Source organism: Homo sapiens, chromosome 19, assembly GCF_000001405.40.
Source record: "Homo sapiens chromosome 19, GRCh38.p14 Primary Assembly".
Classification (NCBI taxonomy): domain Eukaryota; kingdom Metazoa; phylum Chordata; class Mammalia; order Primates; family Hominidae; genus Homo; species Homo sapiens.
The window spans coordinates 33401345-33428824 of NC_000019.10; the positions used below are offsets into that span (position 1 = coordinate 33401345).

At 55.8% G+C, this 27480-nt stretch overlaps 1 protein-coding gene and 1 long non-coding RNA gene across 4 annotated transcripts in view, besides 3 other annotated features; one reads left to right on the forward strand and one right to left on the reverse strand.

Moving 5' to 3' along the window:
* Positions 1-27480, reverse strand: part of PEPD (peptidase D) — a 134842-nt gene that overhangs the window by 14395 nt on the left and 92967 nt on the right. For all 3 annotated transcript variants that reach the window (NM_001166057.2, NM_001166056.2, NM_000285.4), the window contains 3 exons: positions 12231-12299; positions 10328-10405; positions 377-525 (listed from right to left, as the gene is read on the reverse strand). In NM_001166057.2, the coding sequence (NP_001159529.1) occupies positions 377-525; positions 10328-10405; positions 12231-12299 (296 nt within the window). The remainder of the gene's footprint in view (positions 1-376; positions 526-10327; positions 10406-12230; positions 12300-27480) is intronic.
* On the forward strand, positions 525-7621 carry LOC124904692 (uncharacterized). Its single transcript, XR_007067229.1, has 2 exons — positions 525-2079; positions 2945-7621. It is a non-coding gene; the product is annotated as an uncharacterized LOC124904692 (long non-coding RNA).
* Positions 5356-5913: an enhancer, noted in NCBI's record as "H3K27ac-H3K4me1 hESC enhancer chr19:33897606-33898163 (GRCh37/hg19 assembly coordinates)". NCBI's record gives its function as "activates a minimal SCP1, AML or CMV promoter by ChIP-STARR-seq in primed H9 embryonic stem cells {active_cell/tissue: H9 hESC(primed)}" and the evidence as "EXISTENCE:reporter gene assay evidence [ECO:0000049][PMID:30033119]".
* Positions 14991-15140: an enhancer, noted in NCBI's record as "active region_14446". NCBI's record gives its function as "activates an Ori minimal core promoter by ATAC-STARR-seq in GM12878 lymphoblastoid cells {active_cell/tissue: GM12878}" and the evidence as "EXISTENCE:reporter gene assay evidence [ECO:0000049][PMID:35858748]".
* Positions 17047-17932: an enhancer, noted in NCBI's record as "H3K4me1 hESC enhancer chr19:33909297-33910182 (GRCh37/hg19 assembly coordinates)". NCBI's record gives its function as "activates a minimal SCP1, AML or CMV promoter by ChIP-STARR-seq in naive H9 embryonic stem cells {active_cell/tissue: H9 hESC(naive)}" and the evidence as "EXISTENCE:reporter gene assay evidence [ECO:0000049][PMID:30033119]".

Consider the following 27480-nt stretch of genomic DNA (forward strand, 5'->3'; position numbering starts at 1 on the left):
TGAACCTGCTCTGACCCCATGCCAGTGTCCAGAGTGGGTTGAGCCCTCCCTGGAGTAGACACCGCTTAAGGACAAAGCAGGAGACAGGCTGGCGTGCTAGTGGCCAGTGGAGATGCGCAGGTGGAGGCCAGCAGACCGGGGAGCCTTGGCCTGAGCCCCGCAATTCCTGGTTCTGTCTGTCCCTGCCTGGTGGTCAGCCTTGTTTCCTAGGAGTGACCCTGGAGACCTGACGCCACTGGAATCTCAGGGACTAAGCATCTGGAGTGTGGCAGATTCAAGTCACACAATGCAGACCCGTTCCCTGCAGGCACCTGCCACATAGCAGCGCCCCCAACGCCACGTCAGATGCGCCTCCCCCCACCGACCCGCTGCTCACCTGGCTTCATGGCACCCATGACGGCACGGGAGCTCCGCAGCACTGCCTCATAGACGGCCTTCTGGTCTGCAGTGAACTTGCCGTTGGCGGGAAAGGAGCAGGTGATGTCGGAAGCGAAGCAGTAATACTCACCGCCCATGTCGAACAGGCTGCGGAGAGAGGAAGGCAGGGCAAGTGGGTACTGGGGTGCCACCGCCCCCTTACCCTTACCGCTCCCCACCTGCCCTGGACTCGAGGGCAGCTGGCCCGGGTCCTGGATGCAACTCCCCCTCACAATGAGACCGGTGTGGGGAACTGCCACCTGGTGTCTCCCACGGGTGCGTGGGCAGCAAGGAAACCCGAAGCCATCCTGGAAGACCTGTGTCTTCCAGGGAAAAAGGGACTCAGGGCTCAGCCCAGGCAGGGAAGGCTGAGGGGAGTGGGGCTGTCCTATGCAGATGACACCCACCCCTGTGGCCTGGCCTCCAAGAGCTCAGAGCCATGGAGAATTGTTTGGAGAACTAAGGAGAGGCAGAGATGCCCCAGGACCCCGCCCGCTGCCTGGCCTCCACCCGGCACCCCAACAGGCTCTCCCAGGTCTCCCTGCACCCAGCACAGAGCACAGGCTGAGGCCGTGCTTGTGGGAAGCAGAGGAGGAGGGGGCTGGGCAGGGACCCCGGATGGGATGCACGGCCTAGAACTCCGGGCCTGAATCACACCACCTGCTTCTTCCAGGACCCAGAGCATCTGGGCAGACACTCAGTCGGCGGCTAGGGCCTCTGGCTCTGCTGCAGCTCTGGGGCCCCCTAGCTGGAGGGGTGTGCCCGACACTACCCCTCTGCCCATGGGGATGGGACGGACATATTCTGCCAGGGCCCAAGGGGAGGGCAGGGAGGAAGTGCCAGACAGCCTCATGTCCAGCAAGGCTTTCCCAGGGCCTGCTGGCCACATGTCCCCGAAGCCAGGTGGGCCCCCTCACCCTGTCCACCTGCACCCTGGCACCCTCCGGTGGCAGGCAGAGACCAGCAGGACACAGGCAGGGGCGTGGAGAATGGGGCAGAGGTGCCAGCTGTCCAGGACGGGAGGGGCCTGGGGGCCAGCAGAGAGGCAGGATGGCATGGGACAGATGGCGTGGGACAGACAGTGTGGGACAGATGACAGGAGGCCTGCTGAGGCAGGAGGATGGTGGCTGGGGCTGCCCTCTGGATGCCCTGTAAGAGGGACCCTTGGCACAGCAGGGCCCGGAAGGAGTAGGGCCTGTCCTTGCTGTGCAAAGGACCTCAGGGCCCTCTCTGGGCAACGGCAGAGAAGCAGCCTCCCGCTCATCCTGTGGTGTGGAAGGGACAGGATACGGGAAGGGCTGCTGGATCCAAACCTGGCTCTCAGGACTCCCCGGAAGCAGCCCAGGTGGACAAGGCTGGGCCTGGCTGAGGGGGCGGAGGGGCGCAGGTGGTGCCCCTTTCCATCCATCCCACCTAGGCACCTCGGGAGGCTGCAGGCAGCAGACACAGAGCGGAACCCTCGGGTCCACCAGCCCCTTCACAGGTCATGGCCAAGTCACGACACTGATGGTGATGACCCTGGCTGGCGGAGGCTGGTCTAGCCCTAGGACCAGAGCCCACCACGTCTGCAGGGTCCAGAACCAGAGCCAGGAGGGCTGAGGAAGTGCAGCTGCCCCTCTTTGGCTCCACCCTGGGCTTCCCATGGGGTCCATCTGTAGCTGGGTGAGTCCTGACAAGTCTGAGGCCAGGGGCACAGCCGCGGCTTCCGTCACGAGGGCCTCTCACCCAAATCCCAGCTCTCACGGTAAACACAACCACTCCACAAACATTCCAGAAGCTGCCTGTGCGCCTGCCTGTGGGGGGTCCTGTCCCATGGGAGGGAGCCAGGGGGTGGAGGACCCTGGCCTCATGTGGAGCAAGGAGCAGGGCCACGTGGCTGGACAGGCAGCGTCAGCCGCCCCATGGAGGCAGATTTCTAAAGGAAAAACTTGAATGCACGGCCAGGACGCTTTGCTGAAATCCAAAGTCCCCAGCCGGGCACTTTTTAATCTCCTGTCTTTTCTGATTGCAAAACACCATAAGCAGTGTCAACAGGGCAGAAAGGTCCAGATAACACCTCAGGTGACTCTCAGGCTGGGGGGAGGAGCCCCGCCTGCATGACAGGGAGCTTTGGGGTGGGTCAGAGTCACAGGATCTCTGGATGCAGTGGGCTGCTTAGGCCAACAACTGCCTGGAAGTCTACTCCTGCACAGGGCCTAGGCTTCCCCACGGCTGGCCGGGAAGGCGGGGCACATGGAAGCTCTAAACTGAAGGGAAACTGAGGCTCAGATCACGGGTCCAGGAAAGCCCTGAGTCAGGAGGGTAAACAACTCGAAGCCCAGCAATGGGTTCTTAGGTCCTGGCGGCAGTGCTCAACCTTCACGGCCTCAGTTTTTCCATCTGTAAAATGGGACCCTCCCACTGCTGTAGCTCTGGGGAGTGGAGCCATATGGAACACAGCCCAGTTTTGCCTGGGGACAGCTAAGCATTTTCATTTAGGTTCCCCAGAGTCAACCAAGAAAAATGGTTTGTGGTTTGTTGGTTTTAGAACATGCAAGAATAGCCTGGGCAGAGAGGACAGGGCCAGGAGTATGGGGGACACGGATTCCTAGGAGGCGCCAAATCAGAAGGTGACCTGCAACAGCAGCCGGGGCAGAAAGTCCTACCGGACTGTGCTGACACAAAAGAAAAAGCAGAAACTGAACTATCGTTTAAAAAACAACAACAACAACAACAACCAGGAAGCCCACAAGAATACCCCGAACAATGAAATCATCTAGGAATGTAAAAACAAGACTGTTCTCCAGTGCAGACCAGACTCAGATCCCAGTTCCCCAAACTCCCGCCAGCAAAGCAGAAAGACCATGGGATGGTGGGTGCCTGGATATCATCCGCCAGCCTGACTTTATCTTCCAGCTTGTAGAAGACTGTAACTGCATTTCTTGTTTGAAAATGATCTGCTTTCTGGAGGGGGAAGTATACACCCAGCCAGCCAGCTCCATCCTGCCCAGCGAGGCTCGGGTATGGAGCTGAAGTCTATTTTCGTGCTCCTCTCAGTTCCCTATCTTTTTCTGCCTTAAAAAAATCCCCCTAGAGTTTCTACACACATAAGTTATTCAGATGCAAGCTTTTCTGGAATCCAGGGACGAAAGCCATGGCTTTGATAAATCATCTCCCTCCCGCTCCTCTGCGTCCACTTCATCCATCCTCTGAATGCAAACCGACAATGGAGAATTCGGTCATACGTTGGCTCAATCGAGAACAGGCACGCAGGATCCCTCCTTCCTGGCTGTCTGGGGACCCTACCATCTTTGGCCGAGTGAGTCGATGATAATACAAGACATCTGGGAGACAGGATGCATCTCCAAACAACGTGCTGGCGTCTCACTCCCCACATGTGTTCTGAGGGCTCTGTTTCTGGCTCCTTCTGGGTAGCTTTGGGCCTGGGCTACCTGCCACCACTGGCCCACCCAGACCCTCCCTGGGCCCCATGGCAGGGACCCGCCAGCCCAGAGGCAGAAGGCCTCCAAGATGGGTCGGCCAGTGACGGAAGGCTTGGGAACAGTTTTCTGGGGGAAATGCTGCAATGTTTATATGAGAGCCACTTTGGACTTGGTTTGCAGTTTCATTTGAATCTCCTGAGTAGTGGCACGGCTCTTAGCTGTTCAATCCAACAGTTTACACGCGCTCATATTCGGGGCTGCAGAAGCACTGCAGACTCCGATGTGCAGCTGCCCTGGTCAGTGTCCCAGGCCAGGCTGGGGGATTGCTGAGCAGCAGGAAGCACTTGCTTCTCCTCAGTGTGAGACCGAAAGGGAGGCGTATGGGTCACTCTTCCCTTCATCTGCCCCAGTGGGCGGCCCCTGCAGACACGGTGGCGAGCTGTGGTCTCCAGGGTGCATGGGCCGGCTGCCTGCTCCCAGCCAGGCCTTCCGTGGAGTGCCAAGCTCCAAGCGTGGCCAGCAGGGACAAAGGCCACCACTCGGAGTCCCTGAGGCTCCCCGTGCCATGGCCTAACCCACCAAGGGGACCTCTCTCCAGTGCGTTCCTGGGCATCTCTGCCCCCTTTTCGTGTGACGGCCACTCCTCCAGGGCCTCGGCAGACAGGAAAGCTGCCCATGCCGCCAGCCCATGACAGCAGCAGCTTCTGGTCCCCAGAGCCAGCAATCCCTGGTGCACGCGGTGGGTGACGGGAGCAGCTGCGTCCTGTGGGCCTCCTGGGTGTCTGGAGGGAACTGGCATTGCCATTTTATGCATGACATGGACAGAGGCACGGCACCAGTGAGGGGCCCCGGGTCCCAGAAGAGCACTGTGGGGTGCCTCGTCCAGAGGTGGGTGAGACACAAGGACAGCTGCCAGGAAAGCACAGTGGGGTGAGGCCCGGGCGTCAGGGCAGTGGCCTTGGCAGGCGGGAGGGAGAGTCACACGCGCAGCACATGCTGTATTTTGCTTTTTTTGGTGACCAGTGTCTCATGATGTCTGGGAGCACCCAGGATGTCTGGACAAGTGCTGTTCAAACTGTGGGTCATGACATCAGCTGAGGAGGGTGCAGCCACGAAGCACAAACAAGAGACAAACCGAAAACGCGTGGGCAGGTGTCTGCTCATAACCAGGCCTGTCCATGTGTATGAGGACGGGTGAGAATGGAGAGCACGCTCCTAACTGGGATGGGATGGGACGGCCATGCCTGTGGGTCTGGACCCTCCTGAGGGCGTTCTGTGGCCCCAAGAGCATGTCTTTAAGACCGCAGAGTGCTCAGGGCAGGGCTGGCTGGTGACAACAAGTCTCCCTCGGAGGAAACAGCAAGGTGGTGGGGGAGAGCTGGGCTGGGACAGGCAGCAGAGAGCAGGCCTGGGGGCAACGCTCTACCCTGGAGCTCACCAAAGCATTGGGCCCCAGGTGGAGTGGGGCAAGGGGGTCCCCAGGAGCTTGTCACCCATGGGGTCCGCAGCGCGATGGTGGCAGACAGACTCAGGCTGAGTAGACAGCAGGAGTAGGCTGGCCGCATCCCAGGCTGCAGGGCCCATGTGAGGCCAAGGTGGCTGCTGAGGTCCTGGGTGAGCGGGCACCCCATGGCCTGCAGGGTCGAGGTCTCGCCATTATCTAGCCAGGGAAGGAGGGGAAGAGGGCACTGGTGGCTGCTGAGTGTGAGGGCTGGGACAGGTCTCTCCTCCTAGCCAGGCTGGCCACCCACCCCCCATGCCCAGGAGCAACACAAAAGACCAGGCCCAGCAGGGGTGAGGCCTGGCCCATCGTCCTGAGACAACACTGCCCTCTTCTGGCCAGTTCTGGAAGGACAGGCTTGCTGCCCACCAGCTGCATCCCGACTGGGACAACCAAGGCCTGGGGCATCCTGGGACACGTGCTCTAGAAACTCTGCGAGGGGCCACAGTAGATTAAGGCCCCCCTCCAACCCCCACCACCTGATCGGGAAGTGAGGGAGGCAGGAGGAGTGTCCCAGCTGCTTTCCCAACCAGAGCCCTCCACCTCTGCCCTGTGGGGTGAGCCTCTCCAGGACCTGGGGCGGCCTCAGGCCCGGAGTGCTGCAAGGGATGGTCCCTCTCTGGGCGCACTGCTTCCCAGAATCGTGGACCATGCGCCCCCTGCCCTAGCTGCGAAGCTTGCTGGCCTGCAGTGGCTCTGGTGCCCACAGCCCAGGCTGTTTGTGGAAGGAGGGGGCAGCACATGGGGGCTCAGAAGACGACCAGGAGAAGCAGGGGGATGAGTCCTGGCCACCTCTGTGCTCACACAAACCTGTTCGGGGCTGGAGTGAGTGGGGAGGGGTCTTCTGGGGCCTCCCACTTAGGAATGGCCTCCAGTGATCTCAGGCACCTCAATCTGTGTGAACATGTTGAAAGTGTTAATTAGCAAGTGTGCTGCGCTTTTGTAACCCTGTTCTTGAAGGTCTGCCTGAGGGGTTTAAAAAGGAAAACAAAAAAAGCAGCGAATGGCCCCTCTGGTACAGTGACTTGGAGATGGGGTTCATGGCGAACCCCAGGATCACAGCGGGAAAAGACTCTGAGAACAACAGCAAAACCCCCGGAGGCTTGACGGCTACAGGCCCCACATGGGGCCGCTTGGCTCTGAACCAGGCTGAGGGTGTATGCAGCCACCACAAAGTCCCGTCCCTCACCCCTGCGTGCATGCGAGTGGGTGTGGTGGCATCACACCCAGAGAAGCGGGAAGGGGCCCGGGGGTGGCTGGCTGGGGGTGAGGGACGGCCCTCAGGAAGTCTGTCTCAGTCCTTGGCTGACAAGCCTGACCTGAAGCAGGAACCAGGGTGTCTGGTTCATAGGCCCTCTTGGACCATGACTGTGGCCAACAGTGGACTCAGCCTAGCTCCAGGGAAGCTGCTGGAAGGGTAAGGACGGAGCAGTAGGAGGGGGGCCTAGCCAGCCCCAAACCCCGCTTGATGTACGCATCATGGAGGACACTTTTGGGTCGAAGACACGGAACAGGACAACCAGGGGACGGGAGCTGTCTGAGAATAAACCAGGCCTGGCCTGAGCTCTGCCTGTGGCTCCCACCTCCAGCCTGTGCTGCAGAACCAGCTGCTGGAAGTGGGCATCAGGGCCTGGCCTGCCCAGCTCGGTGAGGACACCGGGCCTGCTGCTCTTGCCCGAAGAGGGCCCACGCTGTGCCAGGTGGCCACTGCGAGAGAGGGAGGCAGGGGCTTACACTGTGATCATTGCAACGCAGCACAGCCTCGGTCAGTTCCCTGTGTGTGTATCCATGTGTGTGCGTGTTGGGGGAGTGCTCATATCTGGGACTGTGGAGAGAGGGATGGAAAAGGCTGGCCTCCTCTTAGTACCCCCCACCCTTCTGCAGTACAGCTGTATAATCTGGCTGCCCTGGACCAGCTCTGATTCCCCACAAAATCCCATTCCTAGAAGCTAAAATATCTCTGGGGTGTCTTCCCCCAGTCAAAGGACTAAAACCCAGAGCAGGCCATTGCAGCAGGCGCACTGCTCTGGGAGGCGCTCGGCTTCGGGGGAATTCTACGCTGGGCTCATGCTTTAGTTTCATACCTTAGGATGAAGCATCGTGGCTTTCATGTTGGGATAACAGACTGATTTATTATTTACCGAACGCAGTAGGCGCTCGGCAGATCAATTTCAATACAACAATGGACTATAAATGCCACCAGCAATCTGGCAGTAGCAGTAATCAACAAAACATGTTGTTCTAAATGCTGCATAATAAATTGACTACAATAAACTCATAATTACTCTACTGGCTACATTTCAAAGTTAGCACTAGAAAAATCAAATCACCAATTTGGACTTGGCATTAACATCCTCGGATCACTCCTGCCTCTACAGCTGCAGCTGGGAGATGCAGGTGCCATGTGCTGTCCCGGAGGGCCGAGGCCACAGCATCTGGGATTATGCCAGGACCCTCTCCGGGGCAGATAAAGAGGGTCATAAAGGAGCAGTCACTTCTTCTGGGGTGTGCTGAGCCCACAGAGGAGAAAAGCTCATGGCCACGTGGCTCTGGCACAGGGCTCTCCAGCCACCCAGAAGTGCCCCCTGGACTGTGGGGACCCACTGATGTGGCCTCTGCCGTGAGACTGGGTTCCCATGTCCTGTCCTCCAGGCCCAGCCAGAATGCGCTACAGGGTTAAAGAGCTTTAGAAAAGGTTTCAGGGCTGGGCACCGTGGCTCACATCTGTAATCCCAGCACTTTTGGGAGGCCGAGGCAAGAGGATCACTTAAGTCCAGGAATTCCAGACCAGCCTGGGCAACATGGTGAGACCCTGTCTTTTTAATATTAAAAATAAAAAAATTAGCTGGGCATGGTGGCTTGTACCTGTAGTCTCAGCTACTCGGGAGGCTGAGGTGGGAGGATCTCTTAAGCCTAGGAGTTTGAGGCTGCAGTGAGCTATGATTGTGCCACTGCACTCTAGCCTGGGAGACAGAGCAAGACCGTCTCTTAAAAAGTTTCAGGACACCAGGTGGTGTCTGGAGCCACTGGTGGGTCCACGGTGTGGGGGCAGGGCTGCCACCCCCTCTCCTGCTCTAGTCCCCTGCTGAGCCAAGTCTGAGTTTGCCAATTCTTTCCCCAAGTGCCTCTGGCCTCACACCTGGGCCTGGTGCCCTCCTTGTGTCTGAGTTCCTTGGCCCACACATGGGGTGAGGTGCCTACATCGCAGGATCAGGGCGAGGAGTGGGTGAGAAAATCCACAGAGACCCAGAAGAAGGGCCCAGTCACCTTGTGGCCCCAGGCATGTAGGAGGAAAGCTGAGCTCCGCTCTGACCCTCCCAGCCCCGAGCACGGTGGCTACGCAGGGGGGACTGGGGACTCGCCCACCATTTGTGGGGCTCACTGTGGTGCCAGAGTGAACCAGGATCCGTGGAGCCAGTGCTGTCGGGTAGGCCAGGGAGTCCACTAAGGCCCAGCGCGCAGTGGGTGGCGGTTCCACTGGCCTGCCTCCGCTTGCACCCTCAACCTGCCGTGTTCCTAACACAGCCCTACTGTGGCGGCATATGCTGGCCCCACCCAAGGTCTGAGCTGAGCTCCTGCCAGCATGGCCTGAGCTGGAACAGCTCATCAGCTATGGACCTGGGTGAGCGGGGAGCCCGGGCAGTCTCAGTAGGCCATGTGCCCAAGGGCAGGGAGGACCCCGAGACTGAGTGTGTTCCTGCAAATACTCGGCCCTGACAGCTCAACGCTCGGCAGCTCTCTGGGCAGCTGGTTGTCTGTCCATAGGTCTGGGCATGTGTGTTCCTGTCCTTCAGTGGGCATGGCTGGGGACTCTGGGGGGTGGGCTCCCACGACTACCTGCTGTAGGGTGAGGCGGGGTCCAGGCCGGTGAGCAGCCATCATGGGAACTCCCGCTGGAGGAGCTGGCACATTGGGGTGGCTCCTCGATGGGAAGGCGGAGGCAGCCCAGCTGGGCGCCACGCAGGCCTCAGAGGACATGCCATGCTGCTGGGGGGCAGAGGGCTCTGCAGGAGGCTTGTTCGGGTGCATCTGCCATAGAAGAAAGGGCACCAAAGAACTGGGAGGGACAAGGCACATCCTCTGCTAGTCAGTGACCACAGTGAAATGTCTGGAGGCCAAGACAGGGCCTGCGTGGCTGTGGCTGAGCCCCAGGGCTCCAGCACTGGGGTAGCTCTCAGGAGCTCTGCACTGCCTGGGCTGGCCCTGGCTGACATCTGACGTGCAGGGCACAGGCAAAGAACGCGGAGGGACTGAGCAGAGGCCAGGCTGCAAGTACTCACACACCTCCTCCCTGCCCCGGGGCAGCGGCCCAGCTGCTCTGCCCTGCACACCGAGGGGCTGTGGGTAGGACTGCAAGTCCTCCAATGAGAGAAAAGACTACCCGAGGGGCGGAGGCCGCAGGGCCTGCCCACATCTCCTTGTCGTGGCTTCTATGAAGAACTGTGAGCACGGCACATCGTGCTCAGGAAAGCCCTGCACGCAGCCACGGGTCAGCACTGCTGACTTGCTGAACGCAGGGCCGCAGAGGCCACGGGCTCCTGCAGCAGGAGGATGGCAGGTTTCAGAGCGTGGGAGGCTCCCTGCGGTCTTCCCAGCTCCAGACCAAGAGGCCTGCCCTCCTGGCACCAAGACAGAAAGATGCGAGCGTGGTGCCCCCTGAACGGAGAGGACAGCCTGGACAGAGGCTGGGGATGGTTCAGGCCCCCTCAGAGAGCCCACAATCCCATGGCCCACAGGAAACCATCGGGGGCCCCTCTCCTGCACCCTCTCTCTCAGTGCTCCCTGGGGGGTGCAGGCTTTTGGCCCTGGAGAAGGCACCACGCAGGCCGATAGCCTTGGCAGAGAAGTCTGGGCCAAGAAGCCCAGGGACTTGCTGTGGTCAGCCCTCTCAGGACAGGGACCCAGAGGCTTCTGGGCCATCTTGAAGTTGAGTCCAACCTTGGCCTGGCTGTTCACACACAGAGCCAGGGCCGCTGGCCCTACTTACCACATATCCCCATTCTGGATCGTTCGGTCGTTGGGAGCTCCGGCGTGTCCGTAGTGTAGCACGGCTGAGTTCTCACCACTGCAAAGAGCCGGGGGAGGGTGATCAAAGCCCATTCTTCTGCAGCAGGCTCTGAAGGAGGGGGTGGATGCTCGATCCCCTGCCCATGAGCAGCACTGTCCCCACCTCCAGCACAGGCCCAGGCGTGGCTGGACCAGGTCCACAGCCAGAGGTAAGGCCGGGGGACATGGTGGCCCTGTCACCCCGCAGTCACATGGCTGGCAACCAGCCTCAGTCTGCAGGCAGAGCCTCCTGGCTGAAGGCGTCGTTAGGCGGCTGCCCTCTGGGCTGGGATGTGGGCATCATGTGGAACACATGTAAAACTTAGCAATGGGCCGGGTGTGGTGGCTCACGCCTGTCATGCCAGCACTTTGGGAGGCCAAGAAAGGCAGATCACTTGAGCCCACAAGTTCGAGACCAGCCTGGGCAACATGGCGAAACCCTACCTCTACAGAAAATGCAAAAAAAATTAGCTGGGTTAGGTGGCTCACAGCTGTAATCCCAGTTACTCAGGAGGCTGAGCTAGGAGGATCACCTGAGCCTGGGAAGTGGAGACTGCAATGAGCTATGATCATGCCACCGCACTCCAGCCTGGGCAAAAGAGGGAGACCCTGTCTTTAAATTAAAAAAAGAGCAAAAAAGGGGAACAGCAGTTCCTGGGCCTGGAGAAGGGCCCTACGGAACCCCTCCTTTCCTGGTGGCCAAAGGGGAGAGGGCCTCTATGGAAAGGGCCCCGGCTGTCCTGGAGCTGCCCTGGCGTCCTGACCAGGCTGGAGAGAGAGGAAACCAAGAGGATCCTCGCTCCTCTGCCTGAGAAGGCTTCCCTAATGAGCGATGCCTTTAAGAAAAAAAGGACTTTTAAGTCTGTCCAAAGGGGGGAAGGAAACCCCCACCTGGGTGTAATATTTATGGCCCTGCTCAGGAGTCTTGGGAATCATAAAAGTAGAAATAATGGTTTTCTCTCCATCCACCAGAGAAGAACATTTCCAAGGACTGAGATTTCACATGTATTATTCATGTGCCGGGGACGTGCGCATTGGCAGAGCTGCCTGGCTCCATCCTGGCCGGGCAGGGGCCAGACCCGAGGGGCAGAGAGCAGGGAGACTGGCTGGGAGAGCGCAGGAGACGAGGGGGCCACGCCCACAGCCAGGACGCATGTGGGGGCAGACACACCCCAAGGGACACATGCCGCTGTGCATGGCCCACACAGCATGGCAATGATCCCATATCACTGTCATTTCTACCATGTGTGTGCCTCCAAGCACACCCAGCCAGGTGTTGATGGCACACACCCAAGCGCACACACCCACACAGAGCCCTGCCCCTCGGCACCATGTGCCACGAGCAGGCACACCAACAGTGACATGCACACCCACATACAGCAGCACTGGTCCCCACGCAGCCACACCCACATAGACACACCACCACCACTTTCTGCACTGACCCTTCCACACTCCACCCCTGCTGCACACAGAAGCTGCCCAGCCTGAGCTCACAGCCCGGTCCCCACATGCTGTGTGTGTGCCCGTGTGGAGGAGTGGCCTTCCTGTGCTTAGCTGCTGTGCTGACCAGCTGGGGACAGGAGGGAGGGGACGCCAAGCAGCCCCTCTGCAGTGGGCAGGCCATGCTCCCTCCTTCACCCAGTGCCAGGTCCTGCAGGCAGAGGCCACCTCAGCTCCGGGAGTCTTGGGAGGGAGGAGCGACTTCCAAGCTTGGGCCGGGCGCTGGTGTGGGCGTGTGAGTGAGCAAGTGTGGCTGAGCTGGGGGATGGTGGAGCCCCCCACTCACTAACTGCCCTACCTCCTCCCACTGGTCACCCCCAGGGGAGCCAGGGTGCCCCGCTTACCTGCCGCAGATGCAGGTGTAGGAGCTGTGGCGCATGCCGCCCCGGGAGTAGCAGTAGTGCTCGAAGAGGCTGCAGGGGGAGAGACGCGTCAGGGTTGGGGCACTAGAGCAGGCACACCCCACTCCACGAGCCCCATGAACCCCAAGGGAAGGCCCTCGGCCCATGGTCTCCCCTGCCGTGGCCCCACAATGGTCCAAACTCTCAGTGTGAGTCTGTGAGGCTTACAGCCTGGGGGTCAGTCATAGGCTGCAGAATCTCAGAGGCCAGTGTGGAGTGACAGAGAAGCTGGGGGCCCAGCAGGGCGCAGCCACCTGCCAGAGGAGCTCGCCAGCCTCCACTGACTGCCATGGCGAGTGGCTTCCCAGGCACATCAGGACAGATGGGACTCCTGGAGCCTGCGCCCTGTGGGAAGCCGGGCTGGGGCAGAGGCCACACATTTCTGCAGAGCTGGAGGAAGTGATTCCCTGTGACTCCGTGCCCAGAGGCCACCACCCACCCTGCCAGGAGGGGCTGGATCTACGGCCTGCGCTCACCCGGGGAGAGGGCACAGGAGCTATGGGCAGAAGGGGCAAGGGACAGGCCTCCTGCAGGTGGGGCAGGGCAGGGTGGTCTCCAGGGATGTGGGAGAGGCAAGGCCTGGGGCACACATCCTGCTTCTCCCTCCTTGGAACGAGCTGCCTGCTGGCTGGGCCCACTCTACAAGCTCCCACCCTGAGCGGGTAGGGCCACAGCCAAGTCTGGAGAGAAAGACAAGCCCTGGCCCCAGGCTAAGCCCAGAACCTGCACCGGGGAGGCCTCTAGGATGGCGGATGGTAGCACAGTCACTGCATGGATCTTTGAGCTCCAAGGGACTGAGCCATTCTGCCTTGGTCTTCCTCTACTGAACCCAGCTGGTGAGGGGTGTGGTCGTGGGGAGCTGCCCTCACCCCCTCCCTGAGGCCTCGGCAACAGCTTTCCTGCCGGACCACAGCTGGTCCACCTGCCACCACGTGAGACAGGCCCAGGTGGCCCCCACCCGCCCACCCCCGACCAGGGCAGTCGTTGCGGCCGCCCAAGGGCACGCCACATGGCGGTCCTGCCCTGCACGTTCCAGGCCTGCCTTAGAGAACGTCCATACGAGGGAGTTTCATCTTCTAGGCACTGTCAACACAAATTATGTATAATTGTCATGATTGGATATTAAGCAGTTGTTATGCAGGAACGGCTGTGGTAGATTCAATGGGCTTTCAGACTTGCCTTCCAAACCTCACAGGATAATTGGGTATCTGCGAGTGAAATATTTCCTGAAAAGAAAGGATTTCAGGAGCTGCCAGGGAAGCAAGAAAGCCACATGCTCCTCTCCTCAGCCGCCCCCGTATTCGTGGTGCAAGCGCTCAGGAGGCCGCTTCCACCTCGCTCCTGGGAGTCTCAGCGCTGAGTTTCGCCACAGTCCAGGCACGTTCCTACCAAGGCAGGCAAGGGCAGTGCCCCACATGGCAAGCCCTGTGCGCCAGGCCAGACAGGCAGCCTCAGAAGCCACTTCACACCTCTGTGGCGCCCTCCCAGAAAGCCCGAGAAGAGGCCTGACCCACGCCGTGGAACAGGGGTGCTCCCTTGGCTTTGTGAGATGTGGTCCTGCACCAACAGAAGCGAACCTCAGAGGTCACATGGTCATTCTCGACGTGATGGCGACAGCGGACCTCTGTGGGACAAGTGACCTGCAGACAACCACGGGCTGCGCTGGGACTGGCCGGCTTCAGAAAAGACAGGCAGAGGGACAGAGATGCCATCCGCATGTGCAGAGGAACTCACATATTCTACAAGAAAGGAGCGGCAGGCCGGGCGCAGTGGCTCACACTTGTCATCCCAGCACTTTGGGAGGCCAAGGTTGGAGGACTGCTTGAGGCCGGGAGTTCAAGACCAGCCTGGGCAACACAGCAAGACCCCAGCTCTCAAAAAATCAATCAATCAATCAATACAAGAAAAAAACATCAGAAAGGGGAGGCAGTGAGGAAACTTGGCTCTCTCGCCTGCAGCAAGCTTCCCCCTGCATAACCCACTCAGTGGAGACAACTGTCTTTGAATGCCTTTGCTGCTTTTTAAGAAAAAAATAGTGCCTTCAAGAAGGCACAGCTCACAGAAGCATCAAACTAAAGAAAGGCTGACCCAGTTTTCACCTGCAAAGTGCAGCCCGACACTGGTCACCTTTGCCGGCCACGTTGACAACTCCACACACTGTTCCATAGGAAGGAGTTGAAAAGAGGAGGAGCACCACGTGCTGGATATTCACGCCCGCCTAAAAAAAGCTGAAATGCTTCACAGTGGACTTCAGTCCTGAATTTTGTTTTAAATGACCTTTTCTGACGCAACTTGAGGACACACTGGTGCTTTGGTGGCAATAACAGGTGGGCAAAACGAGCCCACGTTTTCTGCAGACTTTAGGCTTGGGGTGTGGACGCACAAGGGCACCCAAGTTCTGGGCAGCTGTGGCGGCACAGGGGGCCTGTGGAAGCGTGTGAGCCCGGCGCGGCACAGTTCTGATCTTCAAGCGGTGAGCACTGAGGGGTGGACATTCCAAACTGGGGCCCATGCTTGATGCGGACGCAACGTGTGCCCCCGCACAGCTGGGCCAGAGCTTGGCGAGTGGTGCTGGGATGACCAGGAGCAAGTGTGGGCTATGAGGACAGGCTAACAGCCTGTCCCGTGGATGACCGACATGCCATGGCAGTGGCAGCATCACAACTCCTCCAAGTGCGAGGCAGGAGGGGTCCAGCCAAGTCATCCCTGGAGCAGGCTAGCTACTACCCACCCAAAATAATTAACACCTGGAACAGGCTCTCCAGCAGAGGGCAGCAGCCAGCAAGACAGGCAGGAGTGTCACCGCCCCACTGCGACCATCTCCATAGGCTCCTTCCATAAATTTATGACTCACATCGTGCAGCCCCGGACCAGCTGGGTCTAACAGCCCCTGCTCCCTCCTGCTCACCTGGAAGGCGGATGGGGTGGTACACACACCCCAGCCAGGCTCAAGCCCAGCGCGCACCTCCTCCCCAGCAGCAGGGAGGGGCTTCCTGATTGGCTGAGAGGAGGCCGTGGTCTGCCTAAGTCCCAGCCAACGACATCCCGGCTGCTGTGTGGGCCCCGTTGTTTTTCCTTATGTGGCCATTCCTCTAACACCCTCACCTATAAATTTCTCCCAGGCAAGACTCGGGTAGAAGAGGCTTGTATCCAGGCATAAGTGAGAGAGCCCTTAAGCAACCTGGGGGAACTGCATGAGTGGTGAATAACGAGGTGGATGGAGTTACTGCAGTGTCAGTGGGGCAGGCACATCTGTCAGTGCCAGGAGATGACAAATGGGGCAGGAGCAGCAAGTTCCCAGACCCAGATCTGCAGGAATGGGGTCCCCAGAGACGGCGTCGCTGGGCCTCCCACTGGGACCCACAAATCCAGCCCGTGGAGCGCTCCCGGGCACACGGCCCAGCTCCTGCCCTCAGAAGTTTATCACCTAACATGAAGACGAGTCACAGTCCTATAAAAATGCTGCAGCTGCCCAGACAGCGGTAGAAGGGCTGCCTGGCAGCAAGTGTCGGCCAAGCTATGTGCCTCGAGCATGGGTGGGGTAGCGCCGAAGAGGTTAGTGAGGCAGTGTAAGGGGTGGCCCTGGCCACATCATTCCCTTTCCCCGGCTGGGCCTCAATGGATCTCAGGTACTCAAGAGGTGGAGAGGGGAGGCTGGGCCGGAAACAGAAGCTTGGGAGTGAAAATGCGCAGAGCTGGTGGAGCCCCCTCAGCTGGGCAGAGGGCTTAGGAAAGCAGGTAGTTGGGACATGGGGTTACAAACCTGAGGTGGGGAGGGTGTGTTCCGCACCCCGGTCCCTGTGCTGGGCTCCCTGCTCTGGGCCCCACATACCCAGCCTTCTGGGACTCAACACCAACCTCAAGGGCAAATCTTGGCTCTGCTGCTGGCCAGCTGAATGGCCTCTCCGTGCCTCAGTTTCCTCATCTGTAAAATGGGGATGATAGCGGTGCCTCCCTCCCAGGGCTGCTATGCCAGTCGAATGATTTAACATACATGGAGTATACACAATGGTGCCTGGTACCCAAGGAGCTCTGTGTACAGTGACCTAGCCATCGTGGTCACTGTTCAGAGGCCTGGAGGGAGGCTGGAGAATGGGGATCCCTCCTCAGGCAGCAGGAGAGGAGGTCGTGGGCATCCTGTGCCAGGCTTTGAGAAACAGCCTCTTGACTATTCCTTTAAAACCAAACAGAATCTGCATAGGTCCACGGCCCGGACACCCACTCCCGCACCCTCCAGGCAGCCAAGTTCTCTACAGAAGTCCTTCCTGGGCCCACACACTCCCAGCATCTCCAGGATGTTCACCAGCAAAAACGCGGAGGTGTGTCCTCTGCACCAGCTACCGGGACACGTGCGCACAGACAGGCTTCTGGCTGGACAGAGGGGGCCTGTGCCCACCATCCCTTCACAGCTGCCCCTCGCCCTCACGGAGCTGACCCAGGGTCCCCGCCTTCCCGGGGTGCGCCCAGGACTGGGGCACATAAGAGGGAGAGAGCCACAGAGAGTGAGAAGTACCTCATGATGTTTGGGGCCAAGCAGTTGTGCTGTGTATAGTCGTCTCAGCACTAAGTTGCTTATAATTCACATTTATTTTAAGTAATTGCTGCGATATTTTCTGGGTACACATGACCATAATTGTGTCATTAACGTGATACACCACTTACTAAGGGAAAATCCTTTTCAGAGTAAGGGCCATACAGTCCTGCAGGGGATGCCCTGAGACACCTCAGGCCGAGCAGAGCGTGCCTTATGGTCCCCAAAGTGGGAGCAGCTACTATGGAGGACTTGGAGCCAAAACCGGATGTTTCTACCAGTGGAGCCCTGGCATAGCTCCTTTTGCATGGAACCAGAAGCACGTACTACATTCTTCTTGAATTCCCATGGAAGGAGGGGAGCTGCTCCACGCCCTTCTTCTGGGGTGACCAGTGGGTCATCAGAAGGCACAGGCGAAGGCGCCCAAGCCCTACCCTTGGAATCGCCGCCTGGGTGGCACCAGCGACCTATCCAGGACCCCAACTCCCAGGCAGGTCCTGGCTCTTTTAGCACTGTTCCCCGTAGGTCTTCCAAAGAGCAGGTACTGGGACTTGGCAGTGAACTGGGGGACTGCTGCGTGCCTCCCCTTCCCCAGGCCCCAGCATGACGACAAACACAGACAAAGCTAGGAATGAGCACCCTCTGAGGCTCCGAGTGCCTGAAATGAGCAAGAGGCATTCACGTGATGTGTCACCAAGAAGGGACTGACCTGAAGCCTCGGACTAAAGCCAGAAATGCATGATTAATAAAACTGGTGCTAGCGGAGAGCTGGTCAGCATCACCGTGTAGCCGGCACCAACATGGCAGCGTCAGACACAGGCCGTCTGCAGCAGATGCGGTGCTCGGCTTCAGCAGCTTGCTCTGCTGCCCGGAGCTCCTCACTCCCTCTTCCTGCCGCTCCTACACCAGTCCTGGCCCACAGACAGAGACTGTTTGACCTGGGGCAACACCTTCCCACCAGGGCTTCCAGAAGGCCAGCCAGCATGGTCACAGGGTATATGGGGCCAGGCTTCTTGGGCTTGCATGGACCATCTCCATGTGGGCAAGCAGATGAAGTCACACTCCTGGAGCCCCACTGCTGCCCAGATCACTCTCCCTGACTACTCAGCTCCTGCCAGGGAGCCCCACAAGGCACTGCACTGTGGGGATGGGTGGGCAGACTGATTCAATCCAGGCCCTGCTGCCCACTCAGTCTGAGGCTTGAGGCAGGTTGTGTAGCTGCTCCAGTAAGAAAAACTGAACAGTCAACTGCAGCATTTAGCATGATAACAACCCTTTGGGGGCTGAGGGATCTTCCCACTGCACAGAGGATGCTGCAGTCAGAACAATGACGGGCTGGGGTCAGGAAACCCACTGAATCCGTGTTCGGGCTCGGAGTCCACGCAGGGTCTCCGACTGCAAAGCTTATGGTTTTGACCCGGATGCCTCTGAAACCTCAGGTCTGTCAGTAGGTGGGGGCTGGAACAGTGCTGACCTCGGGGCTTGCTGTGAAGGCTGAAGAAGATGCAGGGAAAAGCTTCAACTCCATAAACACTGGCAGTGGGTGATGCCATGGCTAACGCCTTCCGGAGCCCTGACCTTGCACCCATGCACAAGGCCAGAACTGAGCAGAAAAGGGTCTGCAAGGACAACTGGCCCACCAAGTCCTGGGCGAAGGAGCCCCAGGCCAGCCGGTGGAAAGCAGGAGCTGGGGTCTGAGAGAGGCCTGGGATGCTGAGGCCCCGCCCAGAAGGGGGGATCCGCCAATCACAGGCAAGGGCAGCGGCCAAGACAGCAGCGGTCACAGCAGGAGGAAGAGACACAACAGACAGGAGCAGCTCACTCTCTCTCTGAGAGCTGCCTTATCAAGGCACAAGATAATTAGCATTTTAATTGGATAATTGGGAATTCTAAATTGCCTATCTTGTATTAAGCATAACTGAGGACATAACATGACATTCAATTAACAAATCTTCCCCTTTATTTTCAACGTGCTTGATTAGGTTGAGTTTCGGAGTTCCTCGGATCAGTTACGGATAAAACATTCTATCTCCTTCTCCGTCCCCAAGCCTGGCTCATCAGACTGTAATATACTTATGTTTTATATGTACATGGAGAAGTCTTAGAAATTCTCTGCACAAAGAAAAAAAGTCACTGATCGTGTTAACACCCAGAGGTCTTCTCTATCCAATATTTTGTTGAACATTCTTCCAGGCATTTTTTTTAAAGGTATAAACACAGATTAATATTTAATAATTATTTTAAAAATAATTAGCTGTGGCCGGGCGTGGTGGCTGACGCCTGTAATCCCAACACTTTGGGAGGCCAAGGTGCGTGAATCACCTGAGGTCAGGAGTTCGAGACCAGCCTGGCCAACATGGTAAAACCCGTCTCTACTAAAAACACAAAAATTAGCCAGGCATGGTGGCAGGTGCCTGTAATCCCAGCTACTTGGGAGGCTGAGACAGGAGAATTGCTTGAACCTGGGAGGCGGAGGTTGTAGTGAGCCGAGATCGCACCAGTGCACTCCAGCCTGGGCGACAAAGCCAGACTCTGTCTCAAAATAAATAAATAAATAAATAAATAAAAATGATTAGCTGTAATTAAAAAAAAAACTCACCTTTTTACAGAAGTGGGACATACATACAGAAAAGAACTCAAATCCTACAGACACAGCACAATGGCCCAGCACAACTTGGGCACGCCTGTGTGCCTGGCCCCCCTCCTGGTCAGTCTCTCTTCCCCAGGGGCAGCCTGACTCCTATCACCATAGATTAGTTTGCCTATTTTTTAACTTCATGTAAATGGAATCAAACAATATGGTCTCTTGCGTTGGCTGCTTCCGCTGCCACAATGTTTGTGGACCCGTCTAGGTGGGCAGCAGTCCCTGGTTGGTTCTCACTGCTGGCCGGTGTTCTACTGCGGGGGTGGGCCCCCGTGTGTTTCTCCATTCTTCTGTGGGTGAGCGTTCGGGTTGTTTCCAGATCACAGCTATTATGGGTAGTACAGCCATGAGTTCTTGTACAGTCTTTTGGGGCCCATGCATGCATCTCTGGTTGAGCAAACAGCCAGGAGTGGAAATGCTGTGTCACAGGGTTTTTGGGGGGTCAGCTTTAGTAGACAAAGCCCAACAGGTTTTCTGAGTAGTCACATCTTTGTGGTCACTGTCCTGAAACTTCCTCCTCTCCATACCTGTGAATGGGGCCCAAACTGGGCTGAAACAAGTCTGCAAGGACAAACAGCCTAGCCCGGTCCAGCGCAGGGGCTGGGCTGACCCACTGAAGGTTCTTGTTAAAGCAAAGAACATTTTCCTTATCAACAGATACATGTATGTACTTTTTATTTTTGTTTTTCATTTTTATTTTTAGAGAAAGGGTTTCACTCTGTTGCTCAGGCTGGAGTGAAGTGGTGCAATCACAGCTCACTGCAGGCTCAAAGTCCTGGGCTCAAGTGATTCTCCCCCTTCAGTTTCCTGAGTAGCTGGGACTACAGACATGCACCACCATGCCCAGCTAATTTTTTTTATATGTTTTGTGGAGATGGGAGTCTCGCTACGTTGCCCAGGCTGGTTTGGAACTCCTGGGCTCAAGCGATCCTCCCACCTCGGCCTCCCAAAGGTCCGGTATTACAGGTGTGAGCCACTGTGCCTGGCCTATTTTTATATTTAATGCTGTCACTATGTCCAGAATCTGACCACTTCTCCGCACCACCACAACTCCCTCCCTGGTGCAGGCCAAGGTTCTCTCTCCCCTGGGAGATGGCGATGGTGGCTGGGGATGGTGAATGGTGATGGTGGTCTGGCTGGCCCCCCTGCTTCAGCCCTTGTCCCCTACAGAGTGTGCTCCACAAACGGATCCTTCCACAACTTAAGTAGAATCACAGGACTCCTCTGCTCACACCAACCCCGGCTTCCCATCGGCAGCCCACCTCCCCCTTACTCCCCTGTCTTGTCTTGTCTTCTTAGTCGAACTCCGCGCTGCTCCTGGAACTGCCAGGCAAGTTCCCACCAGGCCACTGGAACAGCTTTTTCTCTCTGCCTGGAATGTCCACCCCAGAAAGCCACAGCATGCTCTCTCTCCCCCTTCAGGTCTCTCCTCCCCTTCACAGGGAGGCATCCTGAGTCCCTGGATAAAGGTAGCTCCCTCCCCTGTAACCCTCACCACCATCTGACATGTTTATCTAGCTATCCCATCAATCAATCAATCAATCATCTGCCTATATCTACCTACTTATCATCCATCTACCCATCCATCCATCTATCCATCACTCTAGATCTACCTACCTATCATCTACCTACCTATAATCTATCTACCCATCCATCTATCACTCTATCATCTACCTATCATCCATCTACCCATCCACCTATCCATCTATCATCTATTTACTTACCTATCATCCATCTACCCATCCATCCATCCATCACTCTATATCTACCTATCTACCTAAGTGCAATCCAACTACCCATCCATCCATCCATCCCTCTATCATCTATCTACCTACCTCCTACGTACCTATCATCCATCTACCCATCCATCCACCCATCCATCCATTCCATCTACCATCCATCTACCCATCTATCCATCCATCCCTCTATCAATCATCTATTTCTGTCAACCTACCTACTTATCATTGATCCATCCCTCCCTCCCTCTATCTATCCATCCATCCATCCTTCTATATCTATCTATCTATCTATCCATCTATCCATCCATCCATCTCTCTATATCTATCCACCCATCCATCTATTCCTCTATCAATCATCTATTTCTGTATCTACCTACGTATCATCTATCCATTTATCACTCTATCTACTCATCCAATACTCTGTCAATTATCTGTTTCTATGTCTACCTACCTACCTATCGTCTATCCATCCAGCCATCATCCTATCTATCCATCCATCATCTATCAAGGTGATGATCATCTATATCAGCCTACATACTTACCTACTTATCATCCATCCATCCATCCATCCATCCATCCATCTATCCAACCATCTCTAGCCTCCCATTAGGCTTGAGCTTTATCTTTTTGTTCACTGTAGTATCCCTCAAGAGACCAGAACAGTGCTTGGCACATCAGAAGTCTTTGGTATACCTCTGTTGAGTGACTGAATAAGTGAATGGCTGTATGAGCAGCACCACAGCCTCTAATTTACTTAACCAACTTCCTGCTGTTAGAGATGGAGGCTTCTTCTGCCTCTCTGTATGATGGCCACGCATGGCCTTGTGCCTCTTCACTGTCCTCGGGCTAAATTCCTAGAAGGGAGATTATTGACCAAATGCACATTTCCAATTCTCAGGGCATGTTCTGCAAAAAGGACCCCTGAACACTCATAAGGATTTTGGGGTCCTGAGCAGCACACTGCAAGGCTCGTCTGCCCACAGGAATGGGAACCTGGTGGGTAAAACACAAAAGTATTTCACTGTTTCACTGATGAACTGACAAATTTTAATATGCTTATATGTCTACTTCCTCACATTTCTTCCTTTCTGAATGGCTTGTTCCTTTTTTAAAAACTGCGAATGTTCATCATTTTCTTATTGATCCTTAAGGGATTTATACAGGAAGAACACAGGCAGTGGATCTGACTATCATTTATGTAACAAGTTTCCCCTTTGCTCCTTAATTTTCTTTATGGCATTTCTGGACAGATAATTTACATTTTTATTGGCTAGATCTGTTACATTTTTTTCTTTATGGCTTCTTCCTTTAAGAAGTCGTTCCCTACCCCTATGATTATATAAACTCTATCATCTTTTGTGGGCTTCCTGTTTGCACATTTACTTAATCAATGAACCTAGAATTTATTGTGATGTAGGTCATGAGGCAGAATGCCATTTGATTATTTTCTTTGCTTTCACTAACTGCCCCTTGTGCGCTGGCTTGGAGCACCATCTTGTTGAAAGATAAATCCTTTACATAATAAGGGTGGTTGGGGGCTGCGCCTGTCACCTGCTCCTGTGCTGGGACTTCCCACTGCCCTCACTGGGGCTTTCAGGGCAAGTCCACCCCCTCCCCAAGCAGCTGGCCCTGTAGTGACCCCCTCCAGTAAGTACCTTCTCTACTGATTCCCAGGAAGAAGGACAGGACACCAGAGGCAGAACTTGACTGGTGCCTGGGAGGCTGACAACACAGAACCGAAAGAAATTCAAAGCTCGCAGTACCCGCCTTGAGGGAAATTCGCAATCTGTGACTCTAGACCTGTGTTTGGCACCTTGAGCCAGCGAGGGAGCTCCGGCTTTGGAAGGCCTGGGAAGAGCTGTGTAAACACAAGCACCATTGGCCAACTGTTCTCTGACTTATTCTGGGATCCACACCTGTTCGCGTCTGACCCAATCTCACTAATCCATGCTGACTGTAGAGATGACACCTTTCTTGGCCCTAGAACAAAAACTCCCCCTTTTAAAAAGGACCAGAAGGCCAGTGTGGTGGTGCATGTGTGATGGTGTACTCAGGAGGATGAGGCGGGAGGATCGCTGGAGTCCAGGAGTTTAAGCCCAGCCTGGACAATCTAGTGAGACCCGGTATTCGTCCATTTTCAAGCTGCTGATGAAGACATACCCGAGACTGAGTAATTATAAAGGAAAAGAGGTTTAATGGACTCACAGTTCCATGTGGCTTGGGAGGCCTCACAATCATGGTGGAAGACAAGAAGGAGCAAGTCACATCTTACATGGTGGCAGGGAAGAGAGAAAATGCGAACCAGTGGAAGGGGTTTCCCCTTATAAAACCATCAGATCTCATAAGACTTATTTACTACCATGAGAACAGTATGGGGGAAAGCACCCCCATGATTCAATATCCACACAGCCAAACCATATCAGACCCCAGCTCTTTAAAAAAACAAAAAAACAAACAACAACAACAATAAAAACCAGGTTACCCTCAGATACATCCAGAGAGGCTCAAACCACATGACCAGGAAACAAAAAGAATTGCCAGAGGCCAGGTGCAGTGGCTCACACCTGTAATCCCAGCACTTTGGGAGGCCGAGGCGGGTGGATCACTTGAGGTCAGGAGTTCAAGGCCAGCATGACCAACATAGTGAAACCCTGTCTCTACTCAAAATATAAAAATTAGCCAGTCGTGGTGGCACACATCTGTAATGCGCCACTGCACTCCAGCCTGGGCGACAGAGTGAGATTCAGTCTCAAAACAAACAAACAAACAAACAAACAAAAAGGCTTGCCAGAGTGGCAGATGATCCTAGTTCAACACAACCCAGAGGCCACATTGTCCCTCTAAGGAACGCTGGCACCCTGTCTCCATCCTCCCCAGGAAGGTGTGGGGGAAGCAAGCCAGGTATGCAGGGAGCTTTCTGGAGGGGCGAGCAGGGGCAAGGGGAGGGAAGGGGCTGCTTTTAAGTTCACATTTCCCAAAGCACAATACGAGTCCACGGGATGACATTATGTAGTACCCCACTAGCATATTTCCTTCATGCACTAGGTATTTATCTTGAAGCGCTAATGTCTGTTAATGGCAAATTAGATTGGGTTTCATTCATGACGAGGATAAAAAGCATCTTAAAACATATATTTAAAGGAAAAAAAATGAGTCAATTGAAAGAAAACGATTAAGCAGATAATAGTAGAGGTGAGACAAGAACTTGACCAAAACTGCCAGGGTGTCTCATGGAATGACTAACTCTGGGAGATCCCGCCTTAAGGCTTCTTTGAGGAAAAGCCTGGTTTTTCGTTCTTGGGCAAGGCCTTTGGTTCAGAAGCTCCCCAAGTCCCCAGATGGCAGCCTCAAACTCCTGGGCTCAAGCAATCCTCCTGCCTCAGCCTCCTGAGTAGCTAGGACTACTGGTGTGCACAACCACACCTGGCTAATTTATTTTATTTTATTTTATATTTGTAGAGACAGCATCTTGCTATGTTGCCCAGGCTGCTCTCGAACTCCTGGCCTCAAGTGATCCTCCCACCTCGGCCTCCCAAAATGCTGGGATTACAGGTGTGAGCCACTGTGCCAGGCCCAGGTTCAATATTTAGGGAACACATGTTTGGCAGAGGATCTCAGGTCTCATGTCACTGCACTCCAGCCTGGGCAACAGTGGGAGTCACCCAGATCCCACCTTGTAGAGTGAGGACAGAATCCCCAAGTCACCCCTTCTAGAAAAAGCAAGTGCTTTGCTTTGGATTCCCTCTAGGGCATTTTTCTGTTTTGTCTTGAAAGAGTCCAGCACTACTTTATTTCTAAACATCAAATTGCTTTTTCAGCCTTACAATCTGAAAATACTTCACAAATGTGTCGTTTCAGATCTAACTTTCTCTGGAAAGTGCTGTTTCCTATCAATGTCTTTCTAAAGCACTGTCGCACCTGGGCCCAGCTCTGGGCAGCCCCTGCAACTCACTCAGTTCATCCTGAGGGTCTAGTACCCAGTTCCCTCCCTATCGTCCTCTGCTGAGGGCTCTGGAGAAGAGAGGAGAAGCAGTCTGTCCACATGGACTCACAGCCACTCTCGGTACTGTGAGCACAGGACACTGGATACAGGGACCTGGTCACCCGGGAGGCAGCGCCAAGCCAGTGGTCACTGCGCAGCAGGTGGCCTTGGCTACCCCATTAGGCTGGAGGGAACCAGGAGGAGCTGGGTCACTGAGGAAACAGGAGGAGCTGGGTCACTGCAGCCCCAGATCCCCAGCACCTGCAGGAAGCGAGGACCACAGATGCCTGTGAAAGACGTCTCCTCTCTGAGAAGGTTCTTCCAAGCATCCAGGAACCACAAGGCCCAGGACGCAGCGAAATGTGCCATGGAGGGAGGCCCAGACACCATCTGTCAGGGCCAGCCTGGACAGGCCCTAGGTGGGCAGGGCCCCTCCACCGCGTGCGGCTGTGTTTTATGGCAGCGAACCGGCTGTTAGGCGTGAACTGCCGACAACCCCTCTTCTAATGAGCCTTTCCATCCTCACTCACGACTCCAAACGTTATTTTAGTCACACTTGGCTGAAGGAACAACAGGAACGCTATTTATCACTTTGAAAGTCTTTATCTACTTAAGATGATGAATGGGGGTGGCAGTCACGCCGCCCCTACAGAGAGCAGCCTTGAGAAGAGGAGTGCCTTGGCCAGGGATGCACTCCAAGCATGGAGCTGGGGAGGCGGAGGCTGTCGTGGCTCATGGCATCTCTAGCATGTTCTGCACCTGTGCCCCATCGGGGACCTCTCAGTGCGGATGCCACCATCCAGGTCCTCAGCACCCTCTCGTGCCACAGAGCACAGAGGTAGGAGATGGGGGAAGTGGGACAGCCCCAGGAGCCCCCCATCGGTCCCCACCTGCAGCAGGATGTCCACTTTGGCTCCACAGAGGATGGGAGGGGCGATTTAAGAACCAACTCACATGTCCTAAACCTTTGCTGCTGACATCCCAGAGACACAGGGCAAGTTCCAAAAAATCCTCCAATCGGAGGATGCCAGGAATAACTCTTGCAAATTCAACTTTGGGGTAGCTTAAACCTATTTATCAATAGCTAATTAATAAAGTCTAAGTCTTTGGATGACAGGATGATTAAACTGGTTTTTAAATAATCCATTTTTAATTAAAATGCTACCCTCTTTTGGCTTCTGGATATATTCAAAAGGAAGCCTTAACAGATCTTGTTTTTAAATATACATTATACGAAGCCAATAATTAGAAGAATTTGTGCTTTTAATTATATCTTAATTATTCTTTGCCTATCGATGCAAAGTTAAATATCCTTTCTTTATGACACCAACACTACTCCCCAAAGCCAGTAGATTGCTAGCAGGAATTGTGTGTGTGAAGCCTGCTCCCGGAGATCCGTGCAGCAGTGACGGTGCCTGTAGGCAACCCATACCCCCGTCCTGGCAGGCGGCAATCTGATCATGGCAAAGCACTGGCTCTGGGCAGCACTCTCCTGGCCCCCACCTTGTAAGAGACACGCTTGAAGACAGAAGTGGTCGTTATGTGATGAGGGTCTGGGCCCCCCTCCTGCATAGCCAGGAGCCAGGAAGTTCCTTGACTTTACTCGCCAGCCTGCACACACTCTGAAGCATCTCGCCAGCGCCACCCACTGAAATTTAGAAAATTCGCACAGTGCCAAGGAGGGCTTGGAGGATGCAGAAGAGGGAGTCACGCCCGTGGATGCCGGGTTTCCTGATGTGCTTTGCTGGGTCCCCGCAGGGAGCCCAGGCATCACACACCTGTCCAGCATACCCCGAGCTCCCTCTTCCAGGACCCACAGCAACACCTATCCCAAGCCCACCCACTTCTAGCACCTTCTATCGGACACCTTCCACACTGACCCTCAACCACCTGCCAGTCTTTAACAGGTCCCCTCCTGGCCCACCTTCCCACCAGGAGGTCATGGCTAGAGGGGTCTCAGTGGACTCCTGGCAGCTGCTGCCCTTCAGGAGCTGGGAGGATGTCCACGCTCCACCTCCTGCTCACCGCCAGTTACCATCCAAAACCACCGTGGGCCAGGCTGACGCCCCTCTCCAGAAATCTCCCTGGGTTCCCCAAGGGGCTTCTCCCACCTCTCACCACCAAAAGCCCTCTGTAGGCAAGTCCCTCCCCACACTTCTACACTGCAGAACTTTCAGCCTGGCACCCTCCCGTTCCCTCCCAGTCTTGAAGGGCACTCCTAGAGGCAGGCCCATGTCACCCATACCCAAGGCTGGCCACAGTGATGAGCACACAGTAGGTCCTCAGTAAACATGTGA